We start from the raw sequence: 15,840 nt of genomic DNA, 5'->3' as shown, positions 1-15,840 counted from the left end.
TTTTCCACAGTATTTTTTTATCCTGTAACTTTTTCATCCCACAACTTTAATTCCTGTTAACTTTTTTAGTTTGTGTTCTTTTAATAAACACACTTACATAGTTACAATTTTGTAAGAATAAAAACCGATTACCTCATGCCAAGCATGCCGAGAATTTGCAGAGTCTCAATACCCAATACTATAGTTTTCAAGACACACAAAATTTTTAGGCAAAACAGCACCTTGAAACAATTTAATAATGTATTACATTACAGTAGCATCACAGCAGCAGTCAATAATGCCACTTTAGACAAAAATCAGTATTTCCATTATGCATTCTGTTTATAAGAATTCATAAATCGGTAAAAGTCATTCTAAGAAAACTTGGCAAATACAGCTTTGGACTGGAATTGGCATTTCTTTGTCTACTTTTCCTTCCCCTAGATTCTTTGTTTTAAACTACAGTATTCATATTTTAAAATGTTTTAAATTATTTTAAGACGTTAATATAGCAGTTACATTTTTGAATAGTTATTTGAAAGTGACTGTAAGATAAAGTTTTAGAGAATCTATTATGGATAGGGTTGATTTACATTTTCACATTTTCTAAAAATCAGCTTTGGTTTTAGAACTGATTGTTTTTCATTTTGGGAAAACCTACCAGGTTTAATCAATTACTTTAAAAATAATTATCATATTTTGCAGTCTTTAAATAGGTGTTTTGATTCTTTACTCCCTAGAGAAATTCAAATTTATTCAGTTGAAGTCACATTTTAAAATTCTATGTTCCTGCTGAACTCTAACCTTCTAATGTTGCCTTCTAAGCAAATTAAAGGCTGCCTTATACTGAATGAGGTAGAGAACAAATACTTGGCTGAATGAGGTACTGCAAAAGACTGCATGCACTTTGAAGAAAGACTTGAGTTATTGTCATAGGATTTCCATTCTCTTTAGCTTTTTCTTAAACATATGACAAAATACCTACACAAAGAGTCGTATTTGAATTAATATAGTATATTTATTTTTCAGACTGACATTCATCTTAAATATGCCAGTATGTGATTTAATCCACAGGTACCTGATGAACACATTATTGTCAGATTGGTTACAGTTGCTAAACGCTATCTGAAGGTCATTCCTATTCATTTATACGTGTCAGGGTAAAAGTGAAGCGATTTGAACTATAAAAATACCTTTGAAATAATTTATCAATGTATTAGATAAGCTCAGTTTCAGAATGATAAACAAAAACTGTTAGACCAAATAACGTGGCTAATTAACAGTGGTACGATTTCTAGCCCGAGGGTTTAAAATGGAGTTAAAGTAAGTGTCTTTAAACTGAACTCAAAGAATGCAAAAGCGGCAAGTTCAGAAAAGGCAAGAACAGGACCTTTAGTCCATTTTAAGCCATAAATATTACACAAAATATGCCTCTAACTGAAACTGAGAGGTATAAAAACATATTTCACTCTTCGTAAAGAACTTTGTGAGGAAATATAACTCTGTGATTGTATAGACACTTTCCTCATGACACTTTGACAGTCACAAACAGTAGATTGCGCTGCAGTTTGTAAACATTTTACGTTGCATAAACTGCTCCTTGATTTTCAAATGTAGTATAATACTGTCTACTAAAACTCCTTTTTGTTTCAACTAAGTACTCTCACATATATTAGTTTATAATAATGTTTGTTATTATTTTTAAAGTGTTCTCCATTCAAGGAAAAGAAGTAAATTCCTATGTCAGATGGTTGAAGACTAGCTATTAGCCAGAGAGGTCTAGATGGTAAAATCCATCTTCTAGCCTCAAATAAGCTCCATGAACACAGAGGAATGCCAGGTGTCACACAGCTTTCCTTCACTCGAATTCATTCTTGACTAGAGCCTGTATATGCCTGTTCCAGGGGCATTTAAACTCTTAAAGGATTTCTTCTGATCTTTACTAAATACATTAAGGAGAACGCCAACCAGTGCCCTTTTGTGTACTGGGACATGTAGTCATGTGATTAAAACAGGGAACATGAACTCTGACTTTAAAATGTATTGTAGATATAAATGCTCTCAGCTAGAAAAGGTTTTCCACATCCACAGTCATGATGGGAGCCTTTCATTCCTCAGAAATAATCCCTTTTCAGGTCATCAAAAAAGAGTACAACTGCCACAGCTCATGAGGCAGTATCTTCATGAGCCCAGAGCACATACAAATCCTAAGGGAACTACCGTAGTACAGCGCTCATTCTTGGCACCGGAACAAATGAAACATATTCTATCCTGCACACACCTGCCAAAGCAGGCCACTTTCCTCTTCTGGGAGATTTAAAAACCTCCCCAAAATGTTATTACTCCCATCCCCAATACACAGAAAAAGGGGGAAAGGCTGTTTCCAGTGCTCCACCTTTAAACAACTGTAAATGTCAGTACTCACAGTGGCATATTACAAAGTAATAGACCGCGCACTTGAGGGCAAACTGCATATTGAGCTAATGAAGAGCTCACTGTGATTAGGATTCGATCAAACATAACAGCAGAACATAAGGAAATTTTATCTGAATTCCGTAATGAATATACAGGCTGTACTAACATTAAAAAAGCATGGCAGCCTATCCCAAACCAGCAAGAACAGTTGTGTGCATACAGTGGGTCTTTGTGTGTTTGAACTCCCACCACATAAGGGCAAACTCGATATGCATGCTAACGTCCTATAATTATCAAATTAAAAAAATGCTAAAAGATGCCAGAGTGAACATGAGAGAAACACCCACTCTCATTTAACTTTTTACAAATAAATTTAAATTATAAATTAGAAACACAAATAAATTTAAACTATAAATTAGAAACACAAATAAATTTAAACTATAAATTAGAAACACAAATAAATTTAAACTATAAATTAGAAACACAAATAAACATAAGTGGCTCTAACATTCAAATGAAGTAAATGAATTGTGTAGGATATTAACCCCTTAAATGTTTTGTTTTTTTTTTTCAATTCCTTGACCCGCTCTTAGATGATGGTGATGTTTAGCTCCCTGTTCTCCGCAGCCCGAAAAGAATGGCATGCAGCCTCTCCTGCTCCTCCTGCCGCCTCTCCTGTACCAACAGCTTCTCCACTCAAGCCTGGGTGCTCCTGGGGAGTCCTGCATTAGAGGAAGCAGCTGCTGGATCTGCTGTGCAGTGGGGTTGTCATGGGGGAGAACCCTCCCTGTCCTCTCCCGGTGCAGCCTCCATGCTATCAGTGAGGCTCAGCCCACTAAGATCTTCAGAGAGAGGGAGGGGGGTGGGAATCTGGGCACAGTGCGAGCCTCCCCTGCTCCTGCCTGCCCACCCCGCCTGAGGGCTCTACTCACCACCCTGCTTGTCCGCACATCCAAGCTCCTTGTGGGACTGGGGCTCCAGCTACTGGTCTGGCTGCTGCTGCAGACTCGGAGCCTCTTGGCTCTTCAGCTCCACCTGCCGGAAGACCCTGGGCATGAGGACATGTGGTGGCTGGCTTCCAGATTCCTGGCCCATTAATAGGGTAGCGAGGACACTGTGGGGCTCTGTGGCCTGCCCAGGCCCCTGGCCCCTTGCTCCAGGCCTAAGAGACTGTCTCCCTTGCCTAGAACCCCATGCCTCCTTCCCTAGCATCAAATCTCACGTCCTTTTTCCCAGCATTTAAACTGTAGGCCACAGACTGGTGGAAAAGCAGGCGGAGCCAACCACCATCTGCTAAGTGTGCTACATGCCTAATGTTTCCACGTATTATCTCATTTAATCCTCAGCACCTCTGCAAGGAAAAGGCTAACTTCCTTTTGAAGTTAAAGAAACAGAGACTTAGAGATGCAAAGTAGTTGAATTATGACCAGTGGAACCGAGGCCGGAATCCAGTTTGAATCTAAGGAGTCTTTTTTGTTTGTCTGTTTTGTTTTGTTTTGAGAGAGTGTCACTCTGTGTCCCAGGCTGCAGTGCAGTGGTGCAATCTCAGCTCACTGCAACCTTCATCTCCCGGGCTCAAGTGATTCTCGTGTCTCAGCCTCCTGAGTAGCTGGGATTACAGGCATGCACCACCAGGCCCGGCTAATTATTATTTTTTTTTTAATTTTAGTAGAGATGAGCTTTCACCATGTTGGCCATGTTGGTCTCAAACTCCTGACCTCAAGTGATTGTCCTGCCTCAGCCTCCCAAAGTGCTGGGATTGCAGGCGTGAGCCACCACACCCGACATAAGGAGCCTCTTATACCACTGTCTCTTCCTCTGTGATTGGGGGGCTCCATGCCTCTAGCTGGGATGATGATGTCCAGACCTGGGAGGACCCCAGGGCTACCCACCTCTAAAAGTCAGAGGGCAGGAAGCAAGAAACAGTCATAGGACTGCCCCGGAGGGTGCTGGGGTCACCTGTCCCCAGGCTGCAGCTGCCTGTGGCCTGGCACCTCCCCTCCCCAGAGGCTGGTGCCCGCCTCCCACATCTTCTTGGATGGGTCGGAGGTTACAGTCTCTTTCAGCTCACCCGACTTCTTCAGCTCCTTTACTTGCTGCTCCAACTGCAGTGTGCTCTTGTTCTCGTTGTTCTGGACAGAGAGAAGCAATCAGTGGCCACCCACTAAAACTGGAGACCCCAGAACTTAGTGTCTGCCTCCCATGGCACCGGGAAGGGTGGAGGCAGGTTAGAAAAATATCCCCTCTCTCCCACAGCCATCAGAGCGGGGCTCTGGCTCACAGATGCCTTTAGAAGTACCATTTCATGTGAAGGCTACAATGCCCCATTTTACAGGTGGGGAAACAAAGGCCTTGAGGGCTAGGGAAGAGGGCAGCCTCCCCAGGTGGGGCAACGCACCAGCTCCTCGAAGCCGCTGCGTGGCTCGGCCCGCTGCTCGTACAGGGCTTCCCACCCCAGCTCCAGCATCCTCTCCAGCTCCCGCAGCCTCTCCAGCTCCCGCAGCCTCTCCAGCTCCTGCAGAGTCTCCTGCTGCCACAGCCTCTCATCCTGTTGCCGAAGCCTCTCCTGCTCCAGGAGCTCCTCCACCTCGTCCAGGAGCTCCTCCACCTCGTCCAGCAGCCTCTCCCTCTCCAGCAGCCTCTCCTGCTCCTCCTGCCGCCTCTCCTGTTCTAACAGCTTCTCCACCTCTTCCAGCAGCCTCTCCCTCTCCAGCAGCCTCTCCTGCTCCTCCTGCTGCCTCTCCTGTTCTAACAGCTTCTCCACCTCTTCCAGCAGCCTCTCCCTCTCCAGCAGCCTCTCCTGCTCCTCCTGCCGCCTCTCCTGTTCTAACAGCTTCTCCACCTCTTCCAGCAGCCTCTCCTGCCCTGGCAGCTTCTCCTGTTCACACAGCCTCTCCTCCTGTTCACGTAGCCTCTCCTCCTGTTCACACAGCCTCTCCTCCTGTTCAAGTAGCCTCTCCTCAACTCCTCTCAGGCTTCCCAAACTTGGCCTCACTGCTAATGACTCCTCACACCCGGATGGTAGCCAGTCTTCCAAGTCACTTTCAGATAGAGAGCACTGTGGGTGGCTGACAATGGGCACTCCTCCCTCTTTACTGATGGGGACACTGAGGCTCATGGAGATGACAAGACTTGTCCTCCCCTGGCACAGACCTCTTTCCCTCTGCCTCAAAGCCCTTCCATCCACCCACCTCCCTGGGGCATTCTAAGTCACCCCCACAGCCCTCTAATGCCAGTCCAGCTGCCAGGTCATGCCAGCCCCATCTTACCCGTCTGGTTTTTGAGTTTGAACAAGCTCCTCCCAAGCTTCTGTACCAGATGTATCTCATGCTTCTTCTCCTCCTTAGATGTGCGAACCTGCCCAAAGCAAAGGGGGAAAAGGGCCCTGGAGGGAGGGGCTGGTGAACCTCCAGAGACAGAGTTTGAGAAGGGCCCACCCCCCTTCTGCCAGTTTGTGATTTAGAAACGTGCATTCATTCAACAAACATTTACTGAGCATGTACAGGCCAGGTACAGTTCTTCATAGCAGAGATATAAAACAGCAAAGGACAGACAGGAGCCCTTGGCCCTGAGGTTTCCATTCTAGGGGCCTTTAAATCTCTGACTTTCAGAGCTAACCGAGACCTTTGATACTCTCTACCTCCTCCAGAAACACGAGCATAAAGAGGAGAGATGGCTTGTCCAGACTCAAAAAGCAAATTAGGGACTGAGGCAGGGCAGAAATATGGACCCCTGACAACCAGTCAGGCTAGTGCTTCCCAGAGAGGTGACAACCCCAGGGCATGTGTGGCAAGGACTAGAGCAGGGGTGTCTGGAGAAGAGAGAGTCAGCAAAGAGGGCAGTGCAGAAGACCCATGCTGCATGTTCTGTGCTCTGGGGTCCCTCCAGGTGAGACCTGGGTGCCCAGCTCCCCATTTGCCCTTGGCATCAGGGGCCCCTAGCTCCTTTCTTCAGGGCCCCAAGAGGAAACTGGAGTCCAGGATTGACCAGCTGTAATCAGGGGACCCCACTGGACTCTTACCAGTGAATTGATGTTTTCAGTGAGTTGACTGATTATTGCGGAGCTTGAATCCAGGGCCACTGCTAGTTCTTGGTACTGGCTCTGAGGTGCATGCAGAGAGAAGGAGTTGGAGGAAGATTGTGGGGAGGGGTAGAGAGAATAATCATTAGGGCTGGTGGGGGTGTGTGGGCTGCCTCAGCTGGCAGAGGGGCAACAAGCCCCTGCTGTGGGAGGAGGTTGGAGGGCTGGCCTGCAGGGTCACTGCACCTCGGCCCAGGGCCTCTTACCTCCAGATCCTCCAGGGTAGTAGAGGATGCACGGCCCTCCCCGTAGATACCTGTTGCTGACTGCAAGAGATGAGAGTGCACATGGAGATGTTCTGTCCCCCCTCACTGTCTAAGCCCTCTGACTTCCTTTCTTCCCCCATCAACTGGCAAAAGCTTCTTTTCTGCCTATCTTGGACCCTTTTTCCCATAACTCCTTTGTGCCAACTTCTCTCGTGGTTCTTATCTCCCCACCATCCCACCCTGGGGCCCTTTCAGTGACTCCTAAAGGGACAGCCTGATGGCAAGTGGCTCTTCTCATTGGCCTGGCTTCCCCTTGAGACTGGGGATGAGGAAAATCAAACAGCAACGACCATTTCCTCGGTGTCCTGGGTGTTTGCAGCAGGCCATGTACTAAGGATTCACATAAAAGCAACAATAACGAATCTCATTTAAACTTCACAAATGGAAGTCAAAAAATACCACCTCTATTATACAGATGTGAAAAGAGAGGCCCAAAGACCTCAAGCAACTTGCCCTAAATCATATGCTAATCAATCCCTAATCAATTCTTAGCAGATGGAGAGGCAGGATTCAAATCCAGAATTCTTAACCAGTACCCAACAGTCCATCTACAATCTTAACAATTACCCTCTACTGCCCCTTGGGCCCCCTGTCCCCAGGAGCCTGGCCCGCCGAGACTCACATCCCCAGGTGAGTGGTAACCACCAGAAGTGGCTGTGTCAGGGCTACTGCCATTGATTTTCTTTTTCCTGTTAGCTCCTGCTGGAATGCCAGGGCTCTTCCTCTGCCAATATGCTTTTAACTGTGGGAAAGAAGAGCGGTAACACTCATGAGAATGATCAGCCCCTACAGCCACATCCTCCTTTACAGTTTTGACAAAATACCCTTATATACCATCTGATGTAATGCCACCAACAACTGTACAAGGTGTTGTCACAATCACTTAGTGACTGAGAGGGATTGATATCATGGATAGAAAAAAAAAAAAAAGAAAGATCAAAAAAGGCAATACTGGAACTTAAACTCAGTCCTCTGACTCCAAGCTCTGGGGTTTTGCCATGAATCAGCAGCTTCCAGGGACCAAAACCAGGGGCAGAGGTAGAAAAGTAAACATTAAGCAGGCAGGAACTGTAGGCCGTGTGGTTTAGAGTCATACATCCTCACAGGTCTGCTAGCGTGAAGAAGCGTACCAGTACCTCTCACACTTTCATATCAATGTGTCCTCATGGCAGAAGGCAGCTTTTCTATTAAATCTGGGAATTTATCAGAAAGAGGACAACCCAAGCCTCATTTCAGAGCGAAGTCTGGTATACGCTTGGAAACCTATGTGTCTGTCATCCCTAAGTACATTAATGCATTTTCTCAAGAGAATCAAGGGGAAATGATGCTTCAGAAAGATGTCCCACATTTATCCTGTGGCACTCAAAGTACCCCAGGTTGAGACGATATGAGGAAGATTCAAGCTGTCAAGTTCAGTTTCCCAAGATCTATTCCACAGAAGATGAGCAAATCTCACTTCAGAGGCCACTGACTGAAGGGCAGTCTGGTCCCAGAACCGTGGAGAACTCAGAAAAAAATGTTAAAGTCTCTCTGGAAAGTAGAAGCCTGGGAAAAAACCAAACCAAACCCATTCTCCCATTGCCACCCAGAGATACTGTGAACATTTTGAGCTCACAGGGGAAGTGTAGGCTTTTCCCACTGTCAATGTCTATGTTAAGGGAGTAAGGCAGCCTGAAACCTCTTGCTCCTAGGTCCCATAGTCTCCACTCCCCTTCCAGCTGGAAATTTGTGCTGCAACCAGAGGAACCAGAAATGGGGTGAGAAAACTTAGGGGACTGGGTTGTAAGATCAAAGGCCGGTCTTGCAGCAGTAATGACAGTTCCTAGGGGCACTGTGACATCATTGCATTCCACTCCTCCCAGGGGAGGGGACCACATCAGCGCGATGCCCGAGTCGCTGCTCCACGATGGGGGAGGGAAACACACGGTTTCGACCCAGGTCCTCAGAGACGCCAGCCCAAGAAGCCTAGGGAGGTCGAGCTTGGGGCAGCAGGAGGGGAGGGCAGAGTCTGCAGTAGGGAGCCCCGGGAGTCACCAGCCCAAAGCCACCCAGGGATGACTGGTGAGGGCAGGGCCTGGGGCTGGGGGACCCAGGTCCTGGGAGACGCAAGCCCAAAGAGCCCAGGGAGGTTGGGCTTGGGGTGGCAGGAGGTGAGAGCTGATTATGGAGCAGGGAGCCCCAGGAGTCACCTGCCCAAAGTCACCCTGGGGTGATTGGCAAGGGCAGGGACTGGGCTGCTTGCTGAAGGGGTGGGGCTGACTGACTAGGCTTTGGTTGGGGGAGCCCAGAGGGGCTGGGGTTGGGGGGCCCCATCTGGTATGCCTCAGGAGTGGTATGGACTCTGGCACAGGTCTTGTCATCGGAGGGGATCTGTGGCTGGGTTGGGGGCCATGACCTGGTGTGTTTTACCTTTTTCTTGGCTGCGGCCAATTTCCCCTGTTGTGTTTTTTCTGACATCGCGGGGTGGGGAGGGAGGCGGGGTTGGGGCCACATCAGCGAAATACCAGTGAGCACTGCTCAATGCCTCCAGTCACCTACCAGGCAGCTGTGCAACTGAGCCACAGGTGGCGTAACCAGGGCACCAATGGAACGCAGAATAGGGGCGTGGCCTTAATGCTCCAAGCCCATTGGTCAGTGAGAAAGATGAAAGGGAAAGGAGGCGTGGCCAGGCAGCAGCATGTCCAGAGGGACCTGTGGCATCATAAGGAAAGCTGCCCATGCAACCGCTGTCCCCGCCCACTCAGAGAAAGGGGAGGGGCCGCCCACTCTGGGAGAGGGGAAGGGCTGGGTTTTGCTTTAAAACTTTTAAAACTGTAAAAAATAAACTTTAAAAAATATATGTGTATATACTTTATATATATGTGTGTCTGTGTGTGTGTATCTATGTGTTCCTCCAGAGCTGTCTTCATTATGCAGCTTCTGTGCAAAGTCTGTGATTTTGGCCTATATTTTTCATCTTCAAATGGAGTACAAGAATTACCAGTATTACCTTAACTGAGATATAGATCCTATAAAAATGGAAAATCCATAGCATGCTTGATGATTAATGAAGCCGACTATAGTATCCGACATTCCAATAAGACAAAATAATCACAACAATTTCTCTTTTTTGGAAAAATGTTTGTCTTATTCTCCTACATTATTGTTAAGATTTCTTTTAAAAACAAGAAACATGTCTAATATCTTTAAAAACACAAAGCTTTTGGGCCGGGTGCAGTGGCTCACGCCTGTAATGCCATCACTTTGGGAGGCCGAGGTGGGTGGATTGCCTGAGGTCAGGAGTTCGAGACCAGCCTGGCCAACATGATGAAACCCTGTCTCTACTAAAAATACAAAAACTAGCCAGGCGTGGTTGCGGGTGCCTGTAATCCCAGCTATTTGGGAGGCTGAGGCAGGAGAATCACTTGAACCCAGGAGATGGAGGTTGCAGTGAGCCAAGCTCACGCCACTGCACTCCAGCCTGGGCGACAGAGCAAGACTCCATCTCAAAAGAAATAAAATAAAATACAAAATAAGTAAGAACACAAAGCTTTCAATTTAATAACCACTTAAAGCTCTTTACTGGTTTAAGAGAATTACAAGGCCCATTTTTCTAGAATCACCTGGCCTCTCTAAGCCTTGCAAATGAAGCTGAATTTCTCACTTGATACTTGGCTCTCACTTGCAGTCATGAAAACCAAGAATTTGTTATGTCACTGTGTATTGCTTGTTACCTGAAATCCACACTAGGCTGGGATCAAGGGTTGAATCTTTCATGATTTTCTCCATAACCTGTGTGCTTCTTATCCCACACCAAACTAAGCTTTTTTTCTAGAGCTCTGCAACTTACAGTTAGTATATGAGAGCAGTTCTCAAAAATGTAGTCTCTGGACTAGCAGCTCCAGCAGCACCTGGGAACTTCTTATAAATACACATCCTCCGGCCCCACCCTGGACCTGATGAATCAGAAACTCTGGAGTAGGGCTCAGCAATCTGTGCTGCAGTAATCCCTCCAGGTGTTCAAGAACCTCTGGCATACAGCAGGTAGAAAAATGTGTTTCCTTCTGTAGGTCCAAAACCAGGGATACTATATGTTTTCTCTATATGAAACAATGACGTGCAATTAAAAGACATAAATCTCCTTCCTGCTCCCACCTTCCAGCCAATGTGTTTTATTTTTATGAGTTAAATAAGAAAACAATCAGAGATTTCGTCTAAATCGCATATTTACAGGTATCAGTTCTCATCCAGCCTGATCTTATCCAATATCATTTATATTCTCTTACATGTGAAGTTTTAGAGAAGGATCTTCACAATGTAAGACTCAGGCACACTAGCAGTTCTGTAATAAAACACCAAGTAGATCAGAATGTCCAAACTTACTGGAGAAGAAAAGTGGAATCATTGGCTATATTTTCAAATTGCAATAAACAGGATATTAAAGTTTTGAATTTTTTTCACCTTCATCCTTCCACGTTAATAGAATTAAGCCAAAATACTTGTCTTCCAAAGCCTCTAGCCAGGCAAAATTTTACTATATTACTTCTTGCTTTTCAATGGCTATAAAGCAGACTCCTGGTAGGCACATTTGGTATACCTGCAAAGATGAAGAACTAAACAGTTCCATCTGTTCAATACTGAAACAAAAGTCCTGCAAACCTCGGATGGTGAGTGTAATACTTCAGCACTAGCACCAAAGCCTCAAATATGAAAAGATACCAAGAACACCACTAGCAAACAAAACTAAACTCTCGGCTGGGAGCTCTAGTTCATGCCGTAATCCCAGCACTTTGGCAAGCAAAGGTGGGAGGATTACTTGAAGCCAGGAATTCAAGACCAGCCTTGGCAGCATAGTGAATTCACACCTCTACAGAAAGTTTTTAAAATTAGCTGGGTGTGGCAGCACACTTCCTGGGGCAGATGTGCCATTGCTGGAAACTTCTCTATGGAGAGTACCAAGTACTTCTACCTGTAGCATTTTCCCTGGCTGGAATCCTGCAATTATCACAGTAGCCCGAGATCCAAGAAGGCAGAGCAGGAGCATCCTGTCCCCTCCCCAGCAGGTGCAAGGGAGGCTGGGGGGTGAGGCACAAGCCCGTGGGAGGGTGAGGAGCAGGAGGGATGCATGGTGAGCCTCTGTTGACTGCTTGCTGCCTCAGCTGGAAGGTCAGGACCAAATGTCTATTACAGGTTAAATTACAGAAGTATTTCAGATTTTGGATTTTTTTCAGATTTTGGAATTCGAAAATCTGAAATCCAAAATGCTCCAATGAGCATTTCCTTTGAATCTGGCCTTCGAACATCATGTCGGCACTCAAACAGTTTTGGATTTTGAAGCATTTCAGATTTTGGATTTTCGGATGAGGGATGCTGTATTATCTTCTGAATGAGGCCACTCATTCAGGAAAGCCCAGAGCTTGGGGACGTGGAGCTGCAGACCAAAGAGGTGATTTCTGTAGTGGCTTTCAGTGCGGAAGGGCCTACAAAGTGGTTTAAAGCAAGCCACAAAATAGGAAACCCAATATTTAGCTAATGGAACTCTGATAAAACCTGCTCAAGATGTCTGTCTCTACTAATTCAGATGGAGCCAAGCCAAAGCATCATTATTATTTTAAAAAGGCACCAATCCCTCTGCAAAAGCACTGAATTATATCATGATACAATCATCAATTGTACCATGAATCACCATCAGCGGTGGTCTTTTAGGGATATGAAGAAGGGGTTTTCACAATACATCGCATGACACACCATCTTCCAAATCTCTAAACATTTCTCTCCACAGCCCAGTCCTCTCCATAGTTGTCCAAATCCCTCCCTCTTTTCTCTTGTTGTCTCCAAAACTCAAAACCATGCTCTGACTTTCTATATCCTGCCCTCCCCTTCTTGGACCATCTGGGAAGCCCCCTGCTTCCCCAGGGTGTCCCCTCCTCCCCTTCTGGGATCAGTCATCTTTCCTCAAATGGACCAGTTCGGCCTCTCTTAGTTTCTCCAACTCTGCATCTCAACCTTTCTCCCTTCACTACACAATAATGTCCAGGAGGCAAAGAGCCCACAAACCTGGGAACCTCCCTTTCCAGAAGGGAGGTTCTGGAATGACTACAAATATTTGGTTATGATTTTCTTCCCTGCCACGCCTGTTTTCATGGGCAGTGCTGAGCCCCGGTCCTGGCAGAGCTCAGAACCAGGCTCTCATGAGCTGGGGCAAGTGGGGCCTAGGGAACCTCTGGGTTGAGGACCTTGCACCCCACTCTGCAGCTGCCCTGCTGATTTGGCTCATGCAACCTCTCCTCCTGGGCTCAAGTGATCCTTCTACATCGGTCTCCCAAGTAGCTGGGATTTGGGCTACCACGTTTGGCTAATTTTTGTATCTTTTAGTACAGATGGGGTTTCACCTGTAGCCCAGGCTGGTCTCGAACTCCTGGGCTCTAGTGATCTACCCTCCTCAGCCTCCCAAAGTGCTGGGATTACAGGTGTGAGCCACTGCGCCCGGCCTTGTGCCAGCTTTTAAATATCAACAAGGACAAATTAGAGAACAGTGGAAGAGGGTGAGCAGCATGATGAGGTGATACAGAAATAATTTCACATGAAGAACTGGGCATGCCTGGCTTTTTTTTTTTTTTAAGCTATTCTGGGTTGGATGCTGAGGCTCACACCTGTAAGCCTGTAATCCCAGCACTTTGGGAGGCCGAGGTGGGTGGATCACCTGAAGTCAGGAGTTTGAGACCAGCCTGGCCAACATGGTGAAACCCTGTCTCTACTAAAAATACAAAAAATTAGCTGGAATTGGTGGCATGTGCCTGTAATTCCAGCTACTCGGGCAGCTGAGGCAGGAGAATCGCTTGAACCTGGGAGGCGGAGGTTGCAGTGAGCTGATATCGTGCCATTGCACTCCAGCCTGGGCAACAAGAGTGAAACTCTGCCTCAAAAAAAAAAAAAAAAAAAGAAAGAAAGAAAAGAAAATATATCTATGCACCAGAGCTCAACACTAGGTTAGGAGCATTTCTGAGATTTGGAGCTATTCAACCATGGAAGTTCCTGGCACATACATCAGGTATTCACAATACCCTTTCTCAGGTGTTTGGTCACTGCTAGTGAGCCTGCCTGGATCAGTGTTTCCCAAATGGCAGTCATTTGCATCTTTGCATTTTTTTGGGGGGGGGGTTGTGGGGGTATATACCATACCAGATTTTTTAAAAATTGACATTAAAAATACATGTATAAAATGTGTAAAGTGCACTAATCTAAAGTGCACTGGATGTATTTTTTATTGATGTACATACTTTTGTTATCCATCACCCAGGTCAAAATACAGAATCAGCACCACAGAGGGTTCCCTCCTCCTCCTTCCCAGCCAATAATCTTCTCCTCCTACCTAACCAACTGTTCTTACTTCAATCACTGTCAACTAGTATTTTACATTCTTGAACTGCATATAAAGTGTCTCAAGTTTCACTTAACACTTTTCTTGAAATACACTTGTTTTTTGCCACTTTTTATTTGACCTAAGAAGTAACATTAATGAAACAATGATTTGACGTGATAGGCATTTCCCTCCTAATGAGCACTAAAACACTTAACTATTTGAAAAAAGAAGTTTCTCCGTGTACCAGCTAATATATTCTCCTCGGCCGCCGTTGGTACACGGACCACATTTTGTTTCTCAAAGCAATCCGATGATTTCTGAGGTCCTTTGCAGCTTGAACACGGAACGACTGTGGTGATCGAGTAGCCAAAAGTTCACGGAATGCACTGTCACAATTGTGATTCCGCCATAGCGCCGTGCATCCATCCAACACTTGTTTAATACCTATATTTAATACCTAATACCTTAGACTGTCCTAGGCTGTGGACACAGAAGACTAAACCCCACTTCCTGAGTTGAAGTGGGGGAAATAGAGGAGTAAATCATTTCACGATGTGTGGTTAAATGCTACAGCTCAGGTAACCACGAGCACACAGAGAAAGGGCAGTTTCTAGAAACAGGGCGGAGAGGAGACCGTGAGTGGGCATTTCCCAGAGCAGTCTCTGCCAGCCACCCTGCTGTGATCACTTTGCCACAGAGCAGCCCCGGCGGTCAACCTCAGCCTCCCTTAGCAACCTGAGCGCCCCGCCCAGGTGCCTTACTATTGGTCTCGTGGAGCGGGATGGGCAGCTCTGCCGTGCAATCCCAGCTCGCAGCCCTTGCTCCGCGTGTACTCACGGGAGGACTCGCAGACGTTACTGCCCTCTTGCGTGCCCCGGCCACCCCCGGGCGGCTTGTAGCCGGTGCGCGGGGTGGCTGGGGCTACGTGCAGAGCTGTCGCGGAGCCGGAACAGCAGCGGTGAAGCCCCTCGGCTCGGCCGAGACCGCCGTGCCCATTGCTCGCCTCGGTTGCCGCCGCTTTAGCCGCAGCCGCTGCTGCCGCCGCCGGGGGAGAGGCAGCCTATTGTCTTTCTCCGCGGCGAAGGTGAGGAGCTGTCTCGGCTCGGCCCGCGGGGGAGCCCCGGGAGCCGCACGGTGAGAGCGCAACTTAGTTGGCGGAGTTGGGGGAAGTTTTGTGATTTGAGGAGGGGTCGGGGTGCGGAGCGCGGCCCGTCCCCTGCGGCCGCTCGGTGGGGCGGGCCCCAGAGGAGGGTCGGGGGCTGCGCGGGGCTTCAGGGGCGGGCGGCACGGATGGGTAGCCGGGCGGCGCGGGGACCTCAGCTTTGCGGACCCCTCCTCCCTGCGCATCACCCTTCTCCCGCATTGTCTGCTTGGGGCTCGGCGCGCCTCCCACTCCGCAGCCCAACTTGGGGGCCGTCGCCGCTTTCCGGATGGGGGGCGCGCCCGGCGGCGGATGGCCCCGAACCCTTGCCCCGGGTCCCCGGGTTGGCGCCGCTGGGGCGGACTCACTCCTCCCCTGGGGCGGGCGGCCGCGGTGTGGAGTCCGCGCCGCGAACAAGTGCTGCGGGCGCGAGGGAGCGGTTCCCCGGGGCCGACGCGGACGGTAAACCTGTCCGGCGGCGCCCGCCTGCTGGGGCCTCTCCGCTGTTTCTCGCGGGCGCGGCCCGGCTGAAACTGCGACCGTCGGAGGCGAGCGGCCCTCTGGGACCCGTGCAGCCGGTCCACCTTGCAGCTATACTTTGAGACTAAACATTTTT

General features: G+C 47.8%; 1 pseudogene; it reads right to left on the bottom strand.

Annotated features, from left to right (window-relative positions):
* Nucleotides 1-217: 217 nt before the first annotated feature.
* Nucleotides 218-9,518, bottom strand: LOC102724093 (golgin subfamily A member 6-like protein 4; annotated as a pseudogene).
* Between the last annotated feature and the right edge of the window lie 6,322 nt (nt 9,519-15,840).

Source organism: Homo sapiens, chromosome 15 (assembly GCF_000001405.40).
Source record: "Homo sapiens chromosome 15, GRCh38.p14 Primary Assembly".
NCBI classification, from domain to species: Eukaryota; Metazoa; Chordata; class Mammalia; order Primates; family Hominidae; genus Homo; species Homo sapiens.
The sequence above is the reverse complement of the archived record's forward strand: the minus strand, read 5'-3'. Positions and strand labels throughout refer to the sequence as shown.